The 25,127-nt window shown below is 38.1% G+C and overlaps 2 annotated features.

The window, feature by feature from the left end:
• Positions 362-531: an enhancer, noted in NCBI's record as "experimental_32038 CRE fragment used in MPRA reporter constructs". NCBI's record gives its function as "activates a minimal promoter by MPRAs in K562 erythroleukemia cells, with activity observed for both the introgressed and non-introgressed 13:108548296 variant alleles {active_cell/tissue: K562}" and the evidence as "EXISTENCE:reporter gene assay evidence [ECO:0000049][PMID:34662402]".
• Positions 20,142-20,311: an enhancer, noted in NCBI's record as "experimental_32053 CRE fragment used in MPRA reporter constructs". NCBI's record gives its function as "activates a minimal promoter by MPRAs in K562 erythroleukemia cells, with activity observed for both the introgressed and non-introgressed 13:108568076 variant alleles {active_cell/tissue: K562}" and the evidence as "EXISTENCE:reporter gene assay evidence [ECO:0000049][PMID:34662402]".

Consider the following 25,127-nt stretch of genomic DNA (forward strand, 5'->3'; position numbering starts at 1 on the left):
GCAGAAAAAAATGAGCCACCTCTTTTACAGGATTTGCAGGTCAAATTGGTATCAAAGGCTTAGGATGCATTTCAAGGGTAAGCCTGTTGATGACTGAGTGTTTCCCATCTAAAAGACAAAACTGCCCATGGTTTTGGTTTGTTTGTTTCTCCCCCTGCCCCAAAACCCACAACAGTCCCTGGACCCTGCTGATCAGAATAGTTGCACTCACCGATGCAGCAGCAGAAACACCTCTTGCCCAAGAACCCTGGACCCTCTGATTGGAATAGTTGTGCTCACCGATGCAGCAGCAGAAACACTAGTTTTCCTCCTAGATCACAAGGAGGACCAAGGAATGTTGGATTTAGTGGCCCTTGCCAATGCATTCTCAAAAACCTGCACCCTTGCCTGTCTTCCTAGAACACAAAGAGGACCAAGAAAAATCAGATTTAGTGGCCCTTACTGACGCATTCTTGAAAACCTGTTAAAGAGTCCTAAGCATTCTCCTGTTAGTATTGGGCCTTTACCCATGTCCTATAAAGATGTTATGCCCCAAAAATGAAGTTGAGGGCCATACCCTGAGGGAGGGAAGGGATCTCTAGAGTTAGAAAGGTGATGCCTTTTGTCCTCACTTACATGAATAGGAAGGATACAATTTCTGAGGCTCCCCATATCCTAGATTCAGGAATAAGCTTTTGTTAGGCCTGCTTGTCTGAGGAGGGATCCTAGAATTCCAGATAGTCCCCCCTACGATGGGGCTTTGGGCAAAAATTATGTCTTTCTGATTGGTGAGCCCGGGTGCCTAAAGAAGGTAACAGAGTCCTGGAGTTTATACTAGAAATCATTCTTATAGGAGAAACTAGAAAAGCATCAGAGACAGCGAGTGGTTTTTAGAAGCGGGACTAGCCTCGGAGAAGAGAGGCAAAAGGAAGTTTGTCTGACAGGCATTAGGACCCAGGAGGCAAGGGTCAGGATAGATAGGATAGATGGGCGAGTCTCACTTGGGCGACATGACTTTGAGAGTTCTGCTCATGGCTGCAGGGTCAACCAACTTGCTGTCGGGACCCCGGAGTTGAATGGCTTTCCTATCTGTCAACCCTCGGCTCAACCCAGAAGTACGAGAAAAGCGGAAGCTGGTTCCAGGCAAACGAACGCTCCCAACTCCAAAGAGTTAGGAGTTGTTAGAAAGGCCTTTCCCAGAAAACCTGACAACCATGTCTTTAGTCCGGCTTCCACGCTAGTAGCTTTTAACTGGCCGACAATTGCCCGGTATTTAGCCCCCGAATTCTAAGGAAAAATAGGACAGAATAGCAAGTGAAAAAGGTCCGATGGTACTCACCATTTGGTGATTGTACCTTCATGGTCGCCAAAATGTGTCCAGAATTGGTTCCTTCCTTCCAGTGGCTTCTTGGTCTCACTGACTTCAAGAATGAAGCCGCAGACCCTTGTGGTGAGTGTTACAGTTCTTAAAGATGGTGTCTCCAGAATTTGTTTCTTCAGATGTTCAGATGTGTCCGGAGTTTCTTCCTTCCGGTGGGTTCGTGGTCTCGCTTGACATCAGGAGTGAAGCTGCAGATTTTTGCAGTGAATGTTACAGCTCTTAAAGATGGTATGTCCGGAGCTGTTTGTTCCTCCTGGTGAGTTCGTGATCTGGCTGACTTCAGCAGTGAAGCTGCAGACCTTCACAGTGAGTGTTACAGCTCTTAAAGGTAGTGTGGACCCAAAGAGTGAGCAGCAGCAAGATTTGTTGTGAAGAACGAAAGAACAAAGCTTCCACAGCATGGAAGGGGACCCGAGTGGGTTGCCATTGCTGGCTCAGGTGGCCAGCTTTTATTCCCTTATTTGGCCCCGCCCATGTCCTGCTGATTGGTCCATTTTACAGAGTGCTGATTGGTCCATTTTACAGAGTGCCGATTGGTGCATTTACAAACCTTTAGCTAGACACAGAGTGTGCTGATTGGTGCATTTGCAAACCTTTAGCTAGACACAGAGTGCTGATTGGAGTGTTTTTACAGAGTGCTGATTGGTGCATTTACAAACCTTTAGCTAGACACAGAGCGCTGATTGGTGCACTTACAATCTTTTAGCTAGACAGAAAAGTTCTCCAAGTCCCTACCCGACCCAGGAAGTCCAGCTGGCTTTACCTCTCAGGAGGACTAAGAACCACAGGCAAAAGCAGAAAATTCTCATAGTCTACAGGTTGCTGGCAAGCACAAAAATCTGGGAGGGGGTGCCCTCCAATAACACCTGACTGGAATAAGCCCTTGAGAGTCTCAGAAATACCAGCAGGCCCTCTCCTCCAGAAGAGAACCTCATCCCAAGGGAAGACTAGAGACTCAGAGTTCAAAGTCAGCAGAGAAAAAACACTGACAGCAAGAGTGAGAGAAGGCTCAAGGGGCCCAAAAAAGAGAAGCAGATCCAAAGAAGTGTGGGGAAGAAATGAGGTGCCTGAAGCTGCAAACCTGCAGACCAGGAGAAGCAGATCCAAGAAGTCTGAGGAAGCAATAGGGTGCTTGAGCCTGGGAGGCCACAGACACTGCAATGCCCGTGAGCCTGGGGCTTGGGCTGGGGCAGAAGGAAAATAATGATCTGGAGCATATCAGTTGGGGTTCTCCACAGAAACAGAACCAACAGGCTGCATAGAGATCAATAAGAGGAGATTTCTTATGAAAATTTGCTCACACAATCTTGGAGACCTGGAAGTCCCACTGTATGTCATCTGCAAGCGGACAAATCAGGAAAGCTGGTGATGGAACTCAGTCTGAGTCCAAGACCTGAGAATTGGGGCAGCAATGGTGTGACTCCCAGGGTCAGAAAGCCCCTAGAACCAGGAGTTCTATGTCAAAGGGCAAGAGAAGCAGGATTTCCAGTTCAAGGAGAGAGGGAGAGAACGAGAAGGTACACTTCCTTCATCTTTTTGTTCTACTGGAGCCTTCAAAGGATTGTATGGTGCCCACCCACACTGGGAAGGGTGAGGTGATCTGCTTTACCCAGTCACTGATTTAACCACCAATCTCTTCTGGAAACACCCCTGCAGACACACCCAGAAATCGTGTTTTTTTTACCAGCTATCTGAACATCCCTTAGCTCAGCCAATATGATGTATAAAATTAACTGCCACACTGGTCAAAGCTTCCTTTAGAGAGACCAAAGTGGCTTCTCAGAGAGGGTGAGGTTATATTGTGAATCCTTTAGGAAAACAACAGATGAGGGAACCCATGAACCAGAAAACCAAGAAAGCTGCTCTAGCCCTTCTGTTTCCTGTCACCTCATGCAATGGGATGACAAAAAAGAAATATACTGTAATCCATAAAAAGCTACTCTGAGGAGAAAAATTAAAGTAACCCTACTCACATGTTAACAGATAATGAAAAAACACCAGAAATCCAGGGTCACAAAGTGAATGAACTGTAATCCAGTATTTTATAATGATCTGGAAAAATTAAGAAAACAATCAGAGCTCTAAAATAACCAATCAAAAACCACAAAGTTCAGAGATGATGTGGCTAAATCATACGGATAATAATCTTACTGAGTTATTTTATAAACATGTTCTCTAAAAATTGATTCCATTTTGTTTAAAATTGGTTGGAAATCTTTAATCCAAGTATTTGGTGAATAGAGTGCTAAGAAACTTCAGATTTTGAATAACTGAGTGAACTGCAATTGTTGGAAATAGACCTTGCAAGCAAAAAGACATTGAAAATTACCCTGACAAAAGCAAGGGAGGAACTGAACAAATTGCAGAATGAGAGCTCAGATGGTGCACAGAATTTAATTCTCAAGTTCTATGAGTGTGATTTGGAATATCTTGGATTGTGAGAAGAATTTCTGATGAACTTCCTATTTTAATTGGATAAAGTTATGTTCTGAGTGGAACAGAATGAAACGAAGGTCTATGATTTTCCAGCATATAAATGTAAAACATCCAAAAGAATCATAAATAGAATCAACCAATTTTCCATGTAAAAATTCTTTTCAAAGAAAGATGATCTGAATAGAGGCTGAAAAGCAGTACCTAAAACATATTTTGGCAAAATATTTATACATTTCATATTGTTTAAAATGACAAGGAAATCCTCCCTGAAGCAGAATTTTCTCTGAGCCTATTGGGTAACTCAAACTCTGAAAAGAGTATCTTCTCAAAACTACTTGTGTATTCAGGGAACATGGAATCAAGTTTTCAACAAACATAAAGAAGTTATTAATTATAAATTAAAAATTTGAAGATTACAGTGAAGTTTATAACAAATTATACATGATCATATTCAAGAAAAAAAAAACCCTTATTTCTGAGAAATTCCAGTGACAAACTCATACAAATAGATGTAGGTAAAAAATAATTTTGCGAATGTTACAAAAATGAATTACTCTGCTTTCTCATCTTTGAGGCTGAGAGTCCATTTTTAAAAATTAAAAATTTGCTTTGCTATACACAATGTATACATTGTATTATGTTACTTCATTTTTTGGGACATAGTTTCATTTTTAAAAACAGTTTTGAGGAGAATTCTCTTCAGGTTCACCAACAGCATAAAATCAAATTACTCATGAATAAATGAATATTTCTAAAACTCAGATAGTTTGATTTATTGGGCACCTTCTCAAAATAATCCTAGTTTGGAAAATAAATTATATAGTCACCTTGATTATTAATTGATGATAATTATTACAATGTAGAATTCAATAATTGAGATTCATAAAGACCCAAGCACAGGATGAAAGGTCTGGAAACAGGAAGAGATCCCTCTTATATGGGTACTTGACTTATGAAAGACACAGCCATGCAGAGCAGTAGAAAATCTTCAATAAATCTTTTGACAATTGATTTCAATAAGTGAATGTTTTGGGGTAATTATAATAATATATGATAAAATTCATGTTTGAGTCTAACCTTACCAAAAACCAATTTCAAGTTGATTAAAACCAACTGTAAAAGTGAAAATTATAAAACCAAGAACATAGGAAAATAATTTCCTCACTTCAAAATAGGCAGTAATTGTTAAGCAAGACACAGTGAAAACAACACCCCTAATTTATGTTATTTAGGCAGCAATGGATTAGTGTTATATTACATAAAAACTTATTAAATCTGTGAAAAAAGAGAGAAAGCATGTACATGAGAAAGACATAAAAATCAATAAAAATAAACGTGCAAACCAATAAAAATGTGCAAAAAGAAAAGAAGTATTTTAGAAAAGAGAATATTCACATGGTCAATAAACATGAGATAAACTATTTAACTTAATTACAAATCAGAGAAATACAAGAAATACCAAGAAAAAAGACATTTTTAACAATTATATGTAAACATGTTGACAAAATAATTTTTAAAATCTGACAGTATATGAAGTAAAGATGTAAAGCAACAGGACTTCTCACACATTTCTGTTAGGAATGTACCTCATTACAAATACTTTGAATAACGGTTTGGCCTTAGCTTCCCAATTTAAAAACATGCACATCCTGTGACTCAGCAACTCAGTTCTAGGCATACATCCTAGAGAAATGTGTGCTCTTCATGGAAGATATACGTATGTGATTGCCACATTTTTTTTGCACTAACCTCAGAGTGAAAACAAAACAAAAAAATGGTCTATCCTTACTATAGTGGATAAGTATGGTCTATTCAGAAGAGAGAATTTGATACCTCATCAATAACAATGAATAAACCACAAATACAATCAATACTTTGCATAAATCTCACAAATATAATATTGAGCTGAAGAAGCCAGTCAGAACATAATGTGTGTTATTCAATTCCATTTATATAAAATCCCCAAACAGCCAATGCCACAGTGTTTAAGGATTCATAGAAGCAGTAACACTATAAGGAAATATAAAAATCTAGAGAGCAGTTGTTGCCAGTGGGAAGAAAGGGAATGGACCTCATCACTCCTTCACAGTCCAACATGAACTTCCATATCATCCAGAGGTGAACACATGACCAGGCTTGCTCAGTCAATAGCCCATCTGATTAGTGGGAGTGATTGTGTAGTTCAAAAAGAACTAGTGAGGCTCAATCTTAGAATGTTTAGAACTTCTAGGACGAGAGAATGGTATGTAAGCCCTGAGCTAGCCGTGTTGTCATAAGAAGAGAGACATTCTGACAACAGACCCCTGAAAAGTACAGCAAGCTCAGACATGGCAGAGATGGAACCGTGTCCTCACGAGAGCTTCTCAAGTTTTGAATCCATAATAGACAAAATAAAACCTGTCCCCGGCACTGAGTGTTTTCTGAGTCAGTAAGTTGACCTTCTTATCACAACTTTGATTGTCTCTTAAGGCCAAGAGATCTAATATTCCATAAGTCATCAAAATGTCACAGCCCACAATTTCATTTTCTAGTATATACAGCTCCAGGATACTGCCTCTCACACTTGTATGTGGTACAAAATTACTGAATCGAATAAGACCCAAATCATTTCTACTTGAAATGCAGGGAAGCAAAGTGAGTCTTGAACTCAAGTTTTCCTATAAGTCTCACCTACCTCTTTGACAATCATTACTAGTTACATTCACCACAGATGCTAGTCTCATCACACACTACAATTACCTTCCCTTACATTACTAATTTGAAGCATAATTAACACAAGCCTCACATACTTGGTAAAGTTTGCTATGTTATAGTTAAAGTCTGTCTTCACAGATCACTACGTTTGTGACTCATTGCGAGTTCAATAATCAAAGTTCATGAACTCGAGGTGATTGATACACAGTGTCCTCATCAGTGAACCTGGTGTTAATGTAGTATTTGTTCATAAAGTTATTGTAAGGACTGTATAAAACACTTGCAGAAGCTCACACTGAACTGGTTAATGGTACCAATTCTGAAGTCAGTCAGTGTGTGTTCAGACCCTAGCTGTTTCACTACTACCAGTGAGACCTTGAGCAGGCTAGTGCTTCAGGGTTCTGACCTGTAAAATTGGATGATAACAGTAGCAAACTCCCAGTATTGCTGTGAGATAATAAGAGTACTTAGAACAGTGCTTAACACTTAGTATTGCATAGTCATTATTTGCTGTTATTAAAGAATAATGTTTTGGAAAGGGCCTGGCACATAAAAAAGCTATTAATATTAAATACTATTATTAGTATCAAGAATAAAAGATTAGATATCACTACTGGTTCTACATTCATTAAAGAATAACATGATAATTTACAAATAATGTTATGACAATAAGCCTGACAACTTAAATAAAAATGACAAATCCCTTGGAAAACAAAACTTACCCAAACTAACACAATAAGAAATAGAAAGTGTCTATCAATGACCTTTAACTCATAATCAGAAACATTTCCCCAAAGAAAATTCCGGTCCCATATGGATTCACTGTTTTTGTTTTGGGATGGAGTCTCGCTCTGTCGCCCAGGCTGGAGCACAGTGGTGTGATCTGGGCTCACTGCAACTTCAGCTTCCTGGGTTCAAGTGATTCTCCTGCCTCAGCCTCTTGAGTAACTGGGATTACAGGTGCCCATCACCATGCCCGGCTAATTTTTGTATTTTTAGTAGAGACAGGGTTTCACCACGCTGGCCAGGCTGGTCTCGAACTCCTGACCTCAAGTAATCCGCCCACCTCAGCCTCCCAAAGCGCTGGGATTACAGGCAGGAGCCACCGAGTCCAGCCTACACTCATTTTTTGAGGGTTTTATAACTATTATGAAAACCTGCCAATGATATTGCAAATAAAAATAAAAGAAAGCTGCAGATCAAGAGCTCTCGTGAATGTAACAAAACACTGAAGAAATCAAATCAAACAATTTAACTGTACAATCCATGATGACCAAATAGATTTATCCTTGAAATACAAAGTTCATTTAACAATTGAAAATTAATAAATGAAGTTCAGTATAGGAAAAAAATAAAAAAATCACAGATATCTATCAATACATTCAGAAAAAAGTATTTGACAAAATTCAATACTCATTCGTAATAAAGACTCTCAGCAAATTAGGACATAAGGAAACTTCATCAACCTGACTAAGGGTATGTGGTAGATTGAATGGCGGATCCATAAAAGATATTTCCAATTGTTAATCCTGAAAACCTGTGATTATCATCTTATTTGGAAAATTGGTTTTTGCAGATATAATTCAATTAATATGAGATCATTCTAGAATATCTGGTTGGGCCCAAAAATCTAATGAGAAGCATCATCTTAAGATACACACAAAAGAAACACGACACACAGAAGAGGAGGAGGCATTGTCATCATGGAGACAGGAATTGGAATGATACAGCTGCAAGTCTGGAACCACCAGAAAAGGGAAGAGGCAAAAAACAGTTTCCTCCTGGAGTCTCCAGAGGGACCATGGCCCTGCCCGTACCTTCATGTCAGAGTTCTGGAAGCCCAATTGTGAGATCACAAATTTCTGTTGTTTAAGCCACTCAGTTTGTGTTAATACATTAATGCAGCCATAGAAAACTAATATTGATCATTTATGAAAATTCTATAGCTAACATCATACTTAATGAAGAATTATTGAATAATGCAAAGTTATCTGAAATCCCCACTGCTACTCATCATTTTAGCTGAAGGTTGTAGCTAGTGCAATAATGCACAAAAATAAAGGCAGAGAAAGGAATAATTAAATTATTTTTATTTGCATAAAATATGATTATCTATGCGGAGACTCCATAATACATACAAACATTTCTAGAACCAAAAAAGAAATTTAGCAAGTTTTGCAGAATACAGAGAAATATAGAATTATCATATTGTTTCTGTTATAGATAAATGCAGAATATTTTCTTTATGATAATCATTATCTGTTACATATAAATACTGAATATTTTTTTGTTAATATATAACACAAACAATATGATAATTATTGTTATCTGTTATATATAAATACAGATACATATTTGTGTGGGCAGAAGACCTGCCCCCATGATTCAATTACCTCCCATATCAGCAAAACCATATCAGGTGGTAAGTTTCAATATTTATAAATATTAGAAATACTTATGTTATATATAAATATTCTGTATTTACATTATATATAAATATTCCGTATTTACATTATATATAAATATTCCGTATTTATATGTAACAGAAACAAATAACTTTAAAATAAAATTTAAAATTTTTATTTATAATAACATACAAATATATGCAAAAATAAATTTAACTTGCACGTTTTTTACACTAAAAAAAATAAAATTTACAGAGATTAAAGAAGAACTAAACAAATTGATTTATGTAACATGTTCATAGATTGGAAAACTCAACATTGTTAATATGTGAAATACCTCCAAATGTACCAGTAGATTCAAAGCAATCCTAATCAAAATCCCCATAGCCTTTACAAAAGAAATTGACTAATTCTAAATAAAAAAAGGAAGTAAAAAGGATCTAAAGCAGCCAAAGCTAGATGATAAAAGAAATTTGAGGGATGTTAAGACTTCATGTAGAACTAGAATAATCAAGGATGACATGACATGAGGGAAAAGATAAAGCCATTGAATGGAACGGAACAGAGGATTCAAAGTGTAAAAGAAAATGCTTTCAACAAGTAGCACTGAAACAACGGAATGGAGAATGGCTAAAGAAATGAATGAATAAGGAAATTGTGGTATATTCACACAAAACAATACTTCTTGGCAATAAGATGAAACTATCGATACATACATGAACATAGATAAACCTGAGAAACATACTGAGCCATACACAAGAGAGTACATACTGAATGATCCCACTTCATTGAAGTTCAGGAAAACAATGAAAAAAGCCTAGTCTATGGTGATAGAAATAAGAACAGTGGTTTCTTATGATGGGTAAAGTTTACTAAGAAGGAGAAAATAAAACTTCCTAGGATGGCGGAAATGATTTTTATATTTTGAATAAAGATAGAAAGATGTACTATATGTCAAACATCAAATTTTACAATACTTAAAAATCCACATAAAAAGAGTGAGATGGGAAAAAATATTTAGTAAGACAAACACTCAAGGGTAGTAAGAGGGAAACAGACCCGCAAAATAATGGGACACAGCAGTTGACTTCTTGCGAAATTTGGTGGATTGTTTTAGAAAAGTCCTCACATTAAATATATCTCAAAATATTTTTACAAAGGAAAATCCAGGAAAGTGAGATTGATATTTGGCATGATTTTTTCTTTCAGAATATAGATAATTTAGAACCTGCAGCTAAGAGACTTCGTTTTGTCAAAAATACAAAAACACCTAAGAGGCTAAGCAGTTGAGCAGAGCTTTAGGTAGCTGCACAGGATTTAAGAGATAAAAATTAGAGATGGTGTAGGACAAATACATGCTTCATAAGACCATCTGCAGAGTTCTTTTTTTATTTCTAGGACTCACCCTACAGTTACTGAAGTCTTGTAGGAACCAGGTGGTGTTATGGCCTGCATGTTTGTGTCCCACTCAAATTCAAATGTTGAAATCCTAATTGGATATGATACTATTAGGAGGCAGGGCCTTTGGGAGGAGATCTGTCATGAGGGTGCAGTCCTCACCAATGGGGTTAGTGCTTATAGACAAGGGACCCCAGAGAGCTCTCTCGCTGTCTTTCCACTATGTGAGAGTACAGAGGGAATTCACCAGTCTGCATCCAGGAGGAGGTTCCTCACCAGAACCTGACCAGGCTGGCACTCTGATCTTAGATCTCCAGCCTCCAGAACTGTGAGAAATAAATTTCTGTTGTTTATCAGTCACCCAGTCCATGAGATTTTTGTTATAGCAGCCTGAAAAGATAGATGGTGTATTAGTCTGTTCTCATGCTGCTAATAAAGATGTACCTGAGACTGGATAATTTGTGAAGGAAAGAGGTTTAATGGACACACAGTTCCACATGTCTGCAGTGACCCCACAATCACGGCAGAGGGCAAAAGAGAGGAAAAGGAATGTCTTACATGGTGGCAGACAAGAGGGCTTGTGCAGGGGAACTCCCACTTATAAAACCATCAGCTCTCATGAGACTTTTTCACAATCACGAGAATAACACAGGAAAGACCCGCCCCCATGATTCTATTACCTCCCATATCAGCCAAACCATATCGGATGGTAAGTTTCAACGAGGTCAAAGCCTGCCTTTTTTTGACCAGCTCCCCATATCAGAAAAAAATCATTGGTTTAAGGCCAGAGTACTGAGCAGGAGAACCAGCAATCGGGGGGTGCCATTATCTCCAGGATTTCTACTTGTGGCTGAGTCAAGCTTGTGTCAACCTCAGCTTCCAGATCCAGGTTGTTGCTTCTGATGCCGACACACTGTGAACTCTTGCTTTTTTTCCATTCAGTGCTACCTTGCACTCTTATTCCTTCTGAATTAGTTTCAATAATTTCAAAAATTTAGGGATATTCTTGAGTCTTTCATGGAAGACTTTTTTTTTTTTTTTTGAGTAAGACTTTATTCAATATACAGAGTTTGGTTTCACAGCAGCTTTCTCTAGCCAGGGATGATTTTCCAAACACCTCACTACAGCAGTTTGTGTGAGGGCTGAAGCATTTTTTGCTTTCTTTGCTATGTGGAAGAAAATTGACATCAAATTTCTGTCAGCTCTTCCTATCACATTATACTAGTTCAAGTACACTGTGCAGCAGTTCAGAAATGAAGGGAATTTGAGGGTATGTGACCAGATATAATTCCTAATGCCAGGCCCTGAAAACTTTCCATTTATATCTGTCACTTCTGTCTGAGGCCTGTCATTTCTCTGAAAGTTCAGAGGCATATTGTAACGCCAACTCAAAATTCTCCACTTCTGTTTCTGGCAGCGTAGTTCCTGCATATGTTTTTAGGCTCTGGTTACACCAGGAGTTCAGAACTGTGCGTGACAGACGACCCACCTGCAGCTCCCCAGCCGAGAGGTTCTCTGAGTCAGAGAAAAGGGCTGCAGCATGCCACTCGCGGCGGCCACAGACATCCTTTCCCACGGCTGCACAGCTCCAATTTCGTGATACAATTTTCACTCACAAAGATGGATTGTACCCCATTTTCCACTTTTCCCACTTACCCAATGTGATAGAATTTAGATATTTTAGATATTTTCTCTGCCCAAATCTCACATTGAAATGTAATCCCCAATGCCGGAGGAAGGGCCTGGTGGGAGGTATTTGGATCATGGGGCAGATCATTCCCTTGCTGATAAGTGAGTTCTCGCTCTGAGTTCACATGAGATCTGGTCGTTTAAAAGTGTGGGCCCCTCCCTCCCCAGTCTCACTTGCTCCTGCCCTGCTCCCCCTTCACCTTCTGCCATGGGTGTAAGCTCCTGAGGCCTTCCCAGAAGCAGAGCAGATGCTAGCGTCATTCTTCCTGTAAAGTCTGCAGAACCATGAGCCAATTAAACCTCTTTTATCAATTACCCACTCTCAGATATTTCTTTATAGCAATTCAAGAAAGGCTTAATATACCATGGTTTCTTAGCCTTTTCCTAGTAAATTCACACAGTGATTTAGGGCCTGGGTCTGTACCTCTCACATCCATCTTAAAACATGCAGTTCACAAAAGTTCCAACTAAGATCTCAGAGAAGTTTTCAACATGTCCCTGACTTGGAGGTAGTGCGTGGAGAACTTTCACAGATCCTGCCTGATCTGTCTCAACTTCTAGTCACCTCACATCCAAATATTATTATTATTATTATTATTATTATTATTATTATTATCATCGGAGACAGAATCTTGCTCTCGTTGCCCAGCCTGGAGTGCAGTGGTGTGATATCGGCTCACTGCAACTTCCACCTCCTGGGTTCAAGCGATCCTCCTGCCTCAGCCTCCCAAACACCTGGGATTACAGGCACTTGCCACCATGTCTGGCTAATTATTGTATTTTTAGTAGAGATGCGGTTTCGCCATTTTGGCCAGGCTGGTCTGGAACTCCTGACCTCAGGTGATTTGCCCTCCTTGGCCTCCCAAAGTGCTGGGATTACAGGTGTGAGCCACCGTGCCTGGCACATCCCAAGATTTAACGTGTGGTGAGAGGCCATTCTTAAATTCAATTATAAAGCATGGTTTAATCTAACACATATTTAGGTATTGCATTTTAGTATGAAAATCCTATGTGAAAAAAACACACAACACTTAAGATTCCCAGCTACTTCAAGATTTGGAAACATTTAGCATTAAGCGCCTCTTCCATAGCTTTGAAAATTAAGCTACCCCCAGAGTTTCTCTGAACCCTTTAATCTTATTTTTGTATGCACTCTGCTTCTATGTGTGTGCCCAGGTTGCATTTCTGCTCTGCCTAAGCAGGTCTCAATCATTGTGCCCTTTCCCCAGCCATACTTTGGATATTGTACATCCCTGAGGAGGTGAAAGCTTGCAGGAAGGTCCAATAGAGCAGTGCACAGCCTTCCAAAATCTCCCTGGCCCTCTCCTGCTGCACCGCCGTCTCCAAAGCCTCCAGCTGCCTTCTTTCTGTGTTCAAAAGCCCGGGAAGGGAGTGTGATCTAATCTCTTGCTTCCCTGCTCCCTTTCGAGTGGCTGCCTCTCCTTGTTGGTCATCCTTCTACAATTTTGTTAAAGAAACTATTGTTCCCTGACAGTTGTTGAGCACCAAATTGTAACAAGTTTTGCATAGTGAGCACTTAGGAATTTTGTTGTTGTAGTTGTTATTTATTTATTTTTTTGAGACAGAGTCTTGCTCTGTTGCCCACGCTGGAGTGCAGTGGTGCAATCTCGGCTCACTACAACCTCCGCCTCCCGGGTTCAAGCAATTCTCCTGCCTCAGCCTCCCGAGTAGCTGGGATTACAGGTGCATGCCACCATGCCCGGCTAATTCTTTTTGTATTTTTAGTAGAGATGGGGTTTCACCATGTTGGCCAGGCTGGTCTCAAACTCCTGACCTTGTGATTTGCCTTCCTTGGCCTCCCAAAGTCCTGGGATTACAGGTGTGAGCCACCGTGCCTGACCCCACTTCGGAATTTTTTATTCTAGTAAGGAAAATGTGCTCATTTCTTCATGTTCCCCTAATTTCCCCAGTCCAATTGTTACATTGCTGATGGCACTGTTGACAATCTTAAGTGCTCTTACCCGTTATTTTAATGGCACCTTCTCCATTATCCTAGATTTCTAAATTCTCTCCACCACTCCCCACCCAGCTCGGTCAAGAAGCTCAGAACACAGTGATCAAATGGGGATCTCACCCTCTTCCTCTGCCTGCAATTCATTTTTATGTTGTTGTCTGCAGTTCACAGAGGAAGAGATACAATCAAATTGGTTTGTTCTATTACAGATCTTTGTTTTTTAAATTTGATTTTGCCTTTTCTACTATTTTAACCATTTTATTCACCCTGTTTATTCCCAATCACAATGCTCACAGCACCTGATCTATATATTCAATTTTTGTATTTATTCTTCTAATCCTTTTTAGCAGAGGAACCTACATAGCACTCTACATAGAACCCAAAAATAAGCGGTAATAATCATAGCCACAAATCACCTTCTCCTCTGGAATTTTCAGTGCTCCTAGACTACCTTCGAATATTACCCTCTCTTACTGCAGTGTCCTCAGTGGTGAGTACAATCTCTCTCAAACACAATAGCCGGTAGTATAAATTGAAAGAAGCTTCCTGGAGCCCAGTTTGATCATATATGTCAAAATGTAAAGTGAGCACAACACATGATTCAACAGTGGTGATTTCCATGAAATACTGTAAATGAAATAATCCAAGAAGAAAAAATTTTAAAATAATAGTAGCAAGTAAAGAAAAATCATGGTCTAAATAGCAAAAAAAAAAAGGGGGGGGGGCATGGCTGAGTAAATTGCAATTTATTCATCTGTGGTAGAATTAATTTTGATCAATTTATTGATGTCAAGTGTTAACATTTCTTGTGGCCTTGTGTAATAGACATTTTTCATAATTTGGATGAGCAGCATCCGGTCTTATTTCTGTTTGTTATTATGTTGGTTACTTTGGGGAAGATAGTGACTGCCTTCCTCTACAGAAACCAAAGATGCTTAGTCCTCATTTCTACACATAGCATAATCAAGAGGTATATAGGATAATACTTAGTCCTAACCAGTTGGGCGCTCTCTCAAGGGATTTTGAAACTGAGCTACTAACAATGGATGGCTTGGAAAGCAATTTCATTATGATTTAGTGCAGAATCTGACTGTTTCCTGCACTTCACTGTAGTTACAGCTGCCTGATGTTCACAGAGTCCTTGATTCCCAGGCCTGGGCAGTTAGTTTCCAAGAAAACAAGGAAAACAATCCTTACCAAAGGTTGGAAACTCTTCCAGGTATTTGATAGGTATAAACCTATTTACTCTGTACAAAACCCCATAAGTAAGTTCAATTATTATCCTAAGGGAGGAAACCACCCCTCATATTGTCTTATGCCCAATTTCTGCCTCCAAAGAAAGAAAAAGTTAAAACTAACAGGCACAAATGAAATCCACAAGCAGACAGCCCGGCGCCACACCCTGGTCCTGGTAGTTAAAGATGGACCCCTGACCTAATCGGTTATGTTATCTATAGATTACAGACATTGTAGAGAAAAGCACTGTGAAAATCCCTATCCTGTTTTGTTCCGATCTAATTACCAGAGCATGCAGCCCCTAGTCACGTACCCCCTGCTTGCTCAATCGATCACGACCCTCTCACACGTACACCCTTAGAGCTGTGAGCCCTTAAAAGGAACAGGAATTACTCACTCGTGGAGCTCGGCTCTTAAGACAGGAGTCTTGCCAATGCACCCAGCCGAGTAAACCCCTTCCTTCTTTAACTCGGTGTCTGAGGAGTTTTGTCTGCGGCTCGTCCTGCTACAATCCCATTTTGCAGGTAAGAAAACAATCTCAGAAAGGTTGTATGACTTGCTCAGGTATACAAAGATTAAGAACAAGAATGCTGGCTGCAGAGTCTGTGACCTTCACTCTTCTTATTGCCCTTACTCTTGCCTAATTTTGTAGTCCCTTGAGAGCAAAAATTGTGCCTGAAATGTCTTACGACCCTTTCCAGTTAAAGCAATAATTAGGCTGTTCTATGCTGTTGGCCTTAGGAGATGGATGGCACCATAGCAGGTATCATGTTTTGTTTTGTTTGTTTGTTTTGCTTTTTATAGAGATGGGGTTTCACCATGTTGCCCAGGCTGGTCTCAAACTCCTGAGCTCAGGCCATCTACCCACCTACACCTCCCACTGTGCTGGGATTACAGGCGTGAGGCACTACACCTGGGGATGACACAACAGAATGCAGATTATAAAAGAATCAAGTTTTTGAATGCCAGTTCAGCTTGGGTGAAAATGCCAGTTCAGAAAGGCAAAAGGCACAGGGCATACGTGAAAGGTGTGGAGAGTGCAGGTGCCCTTCACTCAAACTCAATATAGGTTTTCTCATGGTGGGGATGTCAGGGTAACAAAAATCTTTTATTAAAAAGGCTTGTACCTTGACACAATCCAATCCAAAATCCAGGTAAACAATGACAGGGGAAACCACAGAAATCCTAGAAAGTGTGAGCTCAGAAAAATCACAGTCTGGGAGTAATACATACCCTATGAATAAGATGAAACTGAAATAGACCCTCCCACCCCCGATAAAGCTAAAAACCAAGACCCAAGATTATTAGGGTAAACTGCTATTAAATTCTGATAAATAATTGAATGAATGGAAACCTTTTTGAGAAGAGACCACAATTGATAGATTCTACAAGGAAACCATCTAGAATGTCATTTGGAGTGTCATAGTGTTACATACCATTAGAAATTATTAATTGTACAAAAAAGCAAAGAGAAAGATTATTAATTGATAGAGAAGATAATGAATAGAAGCAGATGCAGTGATGATTAAGATATGGGAGTTAGCACGCAGAAATTTGACAATAATGATAAAAATATTAAAAAAGATAAAAACATACAGCCAAAATAGATGAAAAGATGGATAATTTCAACTGAGAATGGGATGTATTAAAAGATGGATATCATAGGATGGGTAAGTGAAATAAATGAAAATTAAGAGCTCATGGATGGTTTTAACAGCATATTGAAAACAGCAGAATAAAAGATGAGTGACCCTGAAGGCCAAGTAATATAAAAAGTCTAAACTAAGGAAAAGAGGAAGAGAAGAAAAAATATAACAAAGCATAAAAATATGTAGAACATGGCCCAAAGGTCAAAATGTGAACCTGGAGTCTCGGAAGGAGAGCAGAGAGAGAATGAGGCATGGGGAATTCTTCAAATCTGATAAAAAATTACTAAAGTTTGAAAATTCAATAGCACACTTCTACAAAATCCATAGCTTAAAAGGAAACAATAAAAACTTGAAAATATTTTGAGCTGAGTGATTAAATATATATAAAATCTGTTGTGGTTTGGCTTTGTGCCCTCACCCAAGTCTCACCTTGAATTGTAATAATCCCAAGGTGTCAAAGGTAGGACCAGGTGGAGGTAATTGTATCCTGGGGGTGGTTTCCACCAAGCTGTTTCCATGATAGTGAGTGAGTTCTCAGGAGATCTGATGGTTGTATATACATCTCACATTTCCCCTGCTGACTCTCATTCCCTCTCCTGCTTCCCTGTGAAGAGGTGTCTTCCACCATGATTGTAAGTTTCCTGAGGTCTCCCTAGCCATGCAGAACTGTGAGTCAATAAAACGTTTTTCCTTTATAAATTACCCAGTCTTGGGTATGTCTTTATTAGCAGTGTGAGAATGGACTAATATCATATCAACTCATGGAATTCTCCTTAAGGGAAATTTTTAGCTTTAAAGCGTATATTTGAAAAAAGGAAAGTTTTGTAGTAATCAATCATTTAAACTTCCAATGCAATTAGATTTTTAAAAGTTGAATGAAAAACAGAAAAAAATGAAGTAATTAAAAATAAATTTAAAAATCAATGCAATACAAAAAATATAATAAATTAATAAAACTAAATTTGGTACTTGGAAAAATTAGTAATACTGGTACTGAAAAAGAAATCGTCTATACAGAAATTAAAAAGAAGACATTATCATAAATACAACAGATGTTAGCAAGAAAATAAGATGTTATACAAAGTTTCATATAGGTAAATTTGAAAATTTGGGAAAATGGATAAATTCCTTAAAAGTAAAACCTACCAGCCGGGCGCGGTGGCTCACGTCTGTAATCCCAGCACTTTGGGAGGCCGAGGCGGGCGGATCACGAGGTCAGGAGATTTAGACCATCCTGGTTAACACGGTGAAACCCCATTTCTACTAAAAACACAAAAAATTAGCCGGGGGCGGTGGCGGGCGCCTGTAGTCCCAGCCACTCGGGAGGCTGACGCAGGAAAATGGCGTGAACCCGGGAGGCGGAGCTTGCAGTGAGCCGAGATAGCAACAGCGCACTCCGGCCTGGGTGGAAGAGCGAGACTCCGTCTCAAAAAAAAAAAAAAAAAAAAAAAAAAAGGTAAAACCTGCCAAACCTGGTAGAAGAAAAAATAAAAGGCCAGGCGCGGTGGATCACGCCTGTAATTCCTGCGCTTTGGAAGGCCGAGGTGGGCAGATCAACTGAGGTCAGGAGTTTGAGACTAGCCTGCCCAACATGGTGAAACGCTGTCTCTACTAAAAATACAAAAATTAGCTGAGCGTGGTGGCGGGCGCCTGTTATCCCAGCTACTTCGGAGGCTGAGGCAGGAGAATCACTTGAACCCGGGAGGCAGAGGTTGCAGTGAGCTGAGAGCACGCCATCGTACTCCAGCCTGGGCAACAAGAGCAGAACTCCGTCTCAAAACAAACAGATATAAAAATGTCTACATAAGTCAACATTTACTAAAGTTGAATTTATAATTAAAATCCTTCCCATTAAGAAAATTCCAGATCCAGGTGCCTTTATTTGTGAGTTCTTTCAAGCCTTTAGGAGTAAACACCACCAAATTTTACATAAAATTTTCCAAAGAATAGTGAAAGGATTCCAACTCATTTTATGGAGCTGGCATGATCTTGATACAAATACCTAAAAAGAATATTACAAGAAAAAAATACTTGTTTATATGTCTCATATATGAAGATATAAAACTTTCTAAATATATATTTTTAAAATACAATTAATGAAACACATAAAAAATATAATCATGACCTAGCAGGACTTCAGGAATTACTGCATTATTGTAGGAATGCAAGGCTGGTATAATATTTGAAATGAACACAAATCTTTGCATTAAAAGAATAAAAGAGAAAAACATTTGATCACCTCAGTCATTGCAGAAAATAATATTTATGAATGCATAACTCAGCAATACAGTAATATGAAACCTCAGGGACAAAATAATAATAATAGTAGTAACAACATCAACAAGAAAGCACTAATCCAGTGACCAATCCTGTGTGGCTGTTATTTAGGGTTGATGTCTCACCCTTGGTTATTTAGAGCTTTGATTTGAGTGGGCTGTGAAATTTGATCTGAGATAAAGTCCAGGGCTCCAGCAACCTGGATATTTGCATCAGGCTACCGCAGAAAATCAGAACCCCAGAGGTTGCTACTCACTTTGGAAGTATGAGTTGAGGTGGGAGGAGCAAGTGTTCTCCTATTAGAAGAAGTAAATAGAGTCAGAAGCTACAGTACCTATTCACCTTCCCACTTCTTTATTTTATTTTATTTTATTTTATTTTATTATTATTATACTTTAAGTTTTAGGGTACATGTACACAACGTGCAGGTTTGTTACATATGTATACATGTGCCATGCTGGTGTGCTGCACCCATTAACTCGTCATGTAGCATTAGGTATATCTCCTTCTTTCTTCTCAAATGGAAGTAGATGGAGAGGAAGGTCATGCCTGGTCCCTGGAGATTGGGTATTCCTTCACATCTGCTGAAACTTTTTTTTTCCCTTCACATTTGCTGAGATAATTGGTTTAATCCTAAAGTGAAGAAATAGGTTTTCTAAAAGAAATATTTTACTCCTCTCTTTTCACCTGAATTTGTAGACATTTGTCTGGGTAAGTCACATGCCAGCAGGGATGGCTAAATTGGATTTTACAGAAGGAAAAAACATCTCAATAAGGTTATTATGTCTGAAGAACTTGCAATACTTTATGTTAATCCAGAAGGAGACTAACTAGATTATCTGGTCACAGCCAAATCTGTGTAGTTTTCACGGGCTGCAGTTTGTGAACTTAGCTTCTTCTGAATCTCATTCTGGGCTCACAATCTCATAATGGCTCCTTGTAAAAAATAAGTATTCCGTTAGACATGAGCTTGACAGATATCCCTGGGTCCTCCCCATATTCTTCTGTCATCAGGCTTTAGACAAAAATTTTCTTTGTGCTCTAGTAGGTTTGGTGCTTACCCAGATGATCCTTACCAGTTTTCTAAAGATGATCTCCATCCTGCAGACCTCACAAAACTGTTGAATAATAGCTGGTTTTTAATAATCAACTGCATATTTTAAGTCGATCTACTTCTATATGAACTTTTCCCAGAATCTAGTAACTTCTTCCCAAAATGAAAGCAAATTCAAACACAGCCGACCCCATCTGGTTGCGATGATTTATTATGACATAGGTTTGTTTGTTTGCTTGGTTTTTTGGTTTTTGGTAGTTCCATCACTTTCCCTGTTACTTTGCTTCAGCAAAGAAAAAGGAGAAAAGGATTTTGTTAGTGGACCCTGGTACCCTATCATGGGCAGTAATCCTGCTAAGAGTGTCCTGTGAGCACATCTCTGAAATATTGAGCGCTCACTGTCCATATTTCCTGTCTTCCTCCTCTAAATTCACTATCACTTAAAATCTTTTAAAAACAAAACAAACAAACAAAAAAACCTCTCTGACAGATCATACTCCTTAAAAAAGTACATCTGCCCTTTCTTATTTTATTAAGGATGATTTTTCTTCTTTTAAGCAAAAGAGAAACAGATAAAAATAATTAAAAGTTTATTTTTATTTATTCATTCATTTATTTATTTATTTATTGTGAGACAGAGTCTCACTCTGTCACCCAGGCTGGAGTGCAGTGGCACGATCTCGGCTCACTGCAACCTCCGCCTCCCGGATTCGAGCGATTCTTGTGCCTCAGCCTCCTAGTAGCTGGGATTACAGGTGCCTACCAACACACCTGGCTATTTTTGTATTTTTAGTAGAGATGGGATTTCACCATGTTGGCCAGGATGGTTGTGAACTCTTGACCTCAGGTGACCTGCCAGCCTTGGCCTCCCAGAGTGCTGGGATTACAGGCATGAGCCACTGTGCCCAGCCTAAAAGTTCTTTTTTACAAATAAGTTTTAAAAAATTTAACATTCGAAGTGCTTACGTTTCTGATTGTCACATAGACCAAATGTTTTCGCTTCTTAATGTAGAGTTTCTATTTGGTATTTTGTAAGCAATGCTCCTTCAAGAAATAATAGGAGAGTGGAGGAAAAGCCCTGTGGTCCAAGAAACCACATTCTTAGAAATGCAGATTGTCCATTTGTGTGCCAAAACTTCAAAATATCCTATTGTGGAAAAATGTGCTTAACTTTATTTGAACTAGCCTTTCCTAAATGTATTTGATGAACAATTTAACTTTTATTTTAGCTTCAGGGGTACAAGTGCAGGTTTGTTATATAGGTAAATTGTGTGTCATGGGGGTTTGGTGTACAGATTATTTTGTCATCCAGGTAATAAGCATAGTACGCAATAAGTAGTTTTTGGATCCTCACCCTCCTCCTACTCTCCACCCTCAGGTAAGGCCCAGTGTCTGTTATTCCCTTCTTTGTGTCCATATGTGCTTGATGTTTAGCTTCCACTTATAAGTGAGAACATGTGGCTTTTGGTTTTCTGTTCCTATGTTATTTTGCTTAGGATAATGGCCTCCATCTCCATCATGGTTCTGGACACAACATGATCTCATTCTTTTTTATGGCTGTGTAGTATTCCATGTTGTATATGTACCACATTTTCTTTATCCAGTCTACTGCTGATGGGCATTTATGCTGATTCCATGTCTTTGTTATTGTGAACATACACATGCATGTGTCTTTTTGTTAGAATGACTTATATTTCTTTGGATATATACGCTATAATGGGATTGCTGGGTAAAGGGGTCATTCTGTTTTAAATTCTTTCAGGAATAACCAAACTGCTTTCATCATGGCTGAACTAATACATTCCCACCAGCAATGCCTAAGTGTTCCCTTTTCTCTATAACCTCACTAGCATCTGTTATTTTTTGACTTTTTAATAATATCCATTCTGAGTTGTGTGAGATGGTATCTCATTATGGTTTTGATTAAAATTTCTCTAATGATTAGTGATGTTGAGCATTTTTTCATATGCTTTTTGGCTGCGTGTGTCCTCTTTTAAAAAATGTTTATGTCCTTTGTCCGCTTTTTAAATGGGGTTGTTTTTTGCTTGTAAATTTGTTTCAGTTCCTTATAGATGTTGGATATTAGACAGTTGTCGGAAGCATAGTTTGCAAATATTTTCTCCCTGGAGTATGCATTAGTTTCTTATTATAAGAAGTCTACTTACATCCTTTGTATTTCTTTCATCTAGCAACAGACCTAATTCTTGGTAGGCATTAAATGCGTATTTTAATGAATATATTGAGTAGATGGTCAACTGTATATACTTAATTAAAAGGCAACCAACACATTTCTGTTCTACTTCTGTCTGCTTATTTCCTGAAAGCTTTCTAATTGAGTCTAGTTAACCCTTTCATTAAAAGTCTAGGTAAATCTTTTGTTCTATTGCACACTGGTATCTGTTGACTGCCATGCCTGTTACATTTTGCTCTACAAAATGGAAGTTCCAACACTTGTTTTCCTGTTGCAGACATAAATGAAGATACTCTATGCATGACATACTTTCCTGATATACCCAGGTTTACTATATCCAAAACCACAAATTTTGTTGGGAACTCAACCTGTAATTATTTTGCCATAAATGCTAAGGGAACAACTGTATTCATCAAAATCAACTGATTATGTATTTGTTATTTTTATGCATATAGTTCTGTATGTTGTGTTAACTACTTCTTTCTCTCCCATTCAAAAAGGCATCTCCACATGCAAATTAGAGTGCTATGATATGATGAAATACTTGTGCGTTTCTGTATTTAGTAATTATGGAAAGGCAAACAATTCCACATATTCAGTTGTGAATTTCTTATCACATACGTGACAGTGATTATGTTTTGATTTTATTTTCTCTTTTCCTCTGTTTTATTCTTTTTCTTTCATGTCCATTCTTACGATAAGCAATTCTTCACTCATTAACTAAAGGAAGGGAATTTTCAATAAAATGTGTAGACCAGCAACTGAGAAACATAAGAAACCTAATGTATCTCATCTCCACCCTCTCCTGGACCCCAGTTTTTTACAATGTGTAAAAGACTTTTGCCATATCCAGTGTGTGAAGGGGAAATTTTAAGGATAATGTGTCTGAGCAGAATAAAAGCTTTGAATTAAATATTAAGTTGAATAACAGAAGAAAGTTATGTCTTTGGCACAGCTGAAATTATATACTAAAATTTTTATCTTCTCCACACATCCAAGAACTGATCAAGACACACAAGTGGGTTCTGACTCACTGCTAGGAAGAGATGTTCTAGAAGGAAATGACAGCAGTCAATACTTGAGCCTTGAGATTCTCCGTTACTAAAACATCTGCTTCAACTGCTGTTCTGCCATTCTTAGTGGACTTTTCCAATTAGAGTGTTTCATAGTGAACGTCTATACACACATACTAGTTTAAGAGGGTTTTTCTTATTTAAATTAGATTCCATAAAACTGAACTTTTTTTTTTTTTTTTTTTGGTCAAGGCACTAAATAGGTTGCTTGATCAAACTTAGGTTATTTTATTTTATTTTATTTTATTTTATTTTACATTACTTTAAGTTCTGGGATAAATGTGCAGAACATGCAGGTTTGTTACATAGGTATACATGTGCCATGGTGGTTTGCTGAACCTATCAACCTATCATCTAGGTTAAACTTAGTTTTGAAGGGCTACTTATGTCATGTCCATATTACAAGTAAGATCAATTACTAAGTTGGAAAGAACAATTGATGGAAAAAAACATGAATCATTATCAAATGATAGGTCATGCTTTTACAGCCATTGCAGGTGATCCAGATGACTGGGTAGGCAGGACTTGAAGAAGGGTAATAAGCGTGGTGGGTTCATTAAAAAGCACTCTTATGACCACAAGTCCTGAAACAGTAGGCAGAATAGATTGTAACCTATTTTACCAAGTTGAGTATTTAAACAACAGCGGATGTGGAGTACATGCAGTTTATTAGAGGATTAATTATGGAACATATGACTGTGTCTGTTTTATGCATTTTGTCAACATGTGAATATCTACCTTAGGCAAGGCACTGTGACTTTCCTGGATTTGAAAAGATTAATACTTTTGTGTTTATGTCAAGAAGCTTCCTTCCTGTTAGGAAATACAGACACAGAAATAGCTGATAGCATATACTTTTACATATTTACATTGTTCAAAGAGTTCTTCCACATCAATAGGAAATCTAAAAATGGGGCAATGGCAAAGTGTATGGGCAAATATCGTGGCCTTTAAAGGGGAATTTGTGTTTAATCTCACTAATAAATAAGAAGATAAAATGTTAAGAGAAACAAGTAGGGGAAGAAATTAAAAACTTTGTCAATAACATCATTAAGAAGATGGAAAAGCAAACCATAGTCTGGAGAAAATACTTAAAATTAATGCTAATTAATTGAAAAATAATATAATAGATCTACTCTATCCTTAGGTTTACTTCTTGCATGTTATAGCTTTCTTAACCTTTTACAATCAAAATATCATGTAGACAGTAAGAGATGTAATTCTCACTTTTTATCTAGACTGGCAATCTGTGGCTTTTAAATAAAGTGTTAAAAACATTTATATTTAAAATAATTAATATGGCTGGATGTTAACACATTACTGCGCTATTTGCTTTTTATTTGTCTCATCTGTTTTTTCCCTTTTGTGCTTGTTCTTCTTTATTTTGAGTTAATAAATATATATTATAGCATTTCATTTTAATTTCTCATTTATCCTTTTAGCTAATACTTTTCCAGATGTTTTAGTGGTTCTGCTAAAGATTATATTTTTAACTTAGTTTTAATATTAGTACTGTACTATATGTAAAAATATAGGAATCCTATAATGGTACAGTTTCATTTACCTCATTTCTTTGCGCTACTTTTGTCATCCATATATGCATGAATCATATAGAATATACATGTATATATACACATATGAAATCTTTACATTCCTTGTAAACCCCACAATGTACTGTTAGAGTATTTTA

Source organism: Homo sapiens, chromosome 13 (genome assembly GCF_000001405.40).
Source record: "Homo sapiens chromosome 13, GRCh38.p14 Primary Assembly".
NCBI classification, from domain to species: Eukaryota; Metazoa; Chordata; class Mammalia; order Primates; family Hominidae; genus Homo; species Homo sapiens.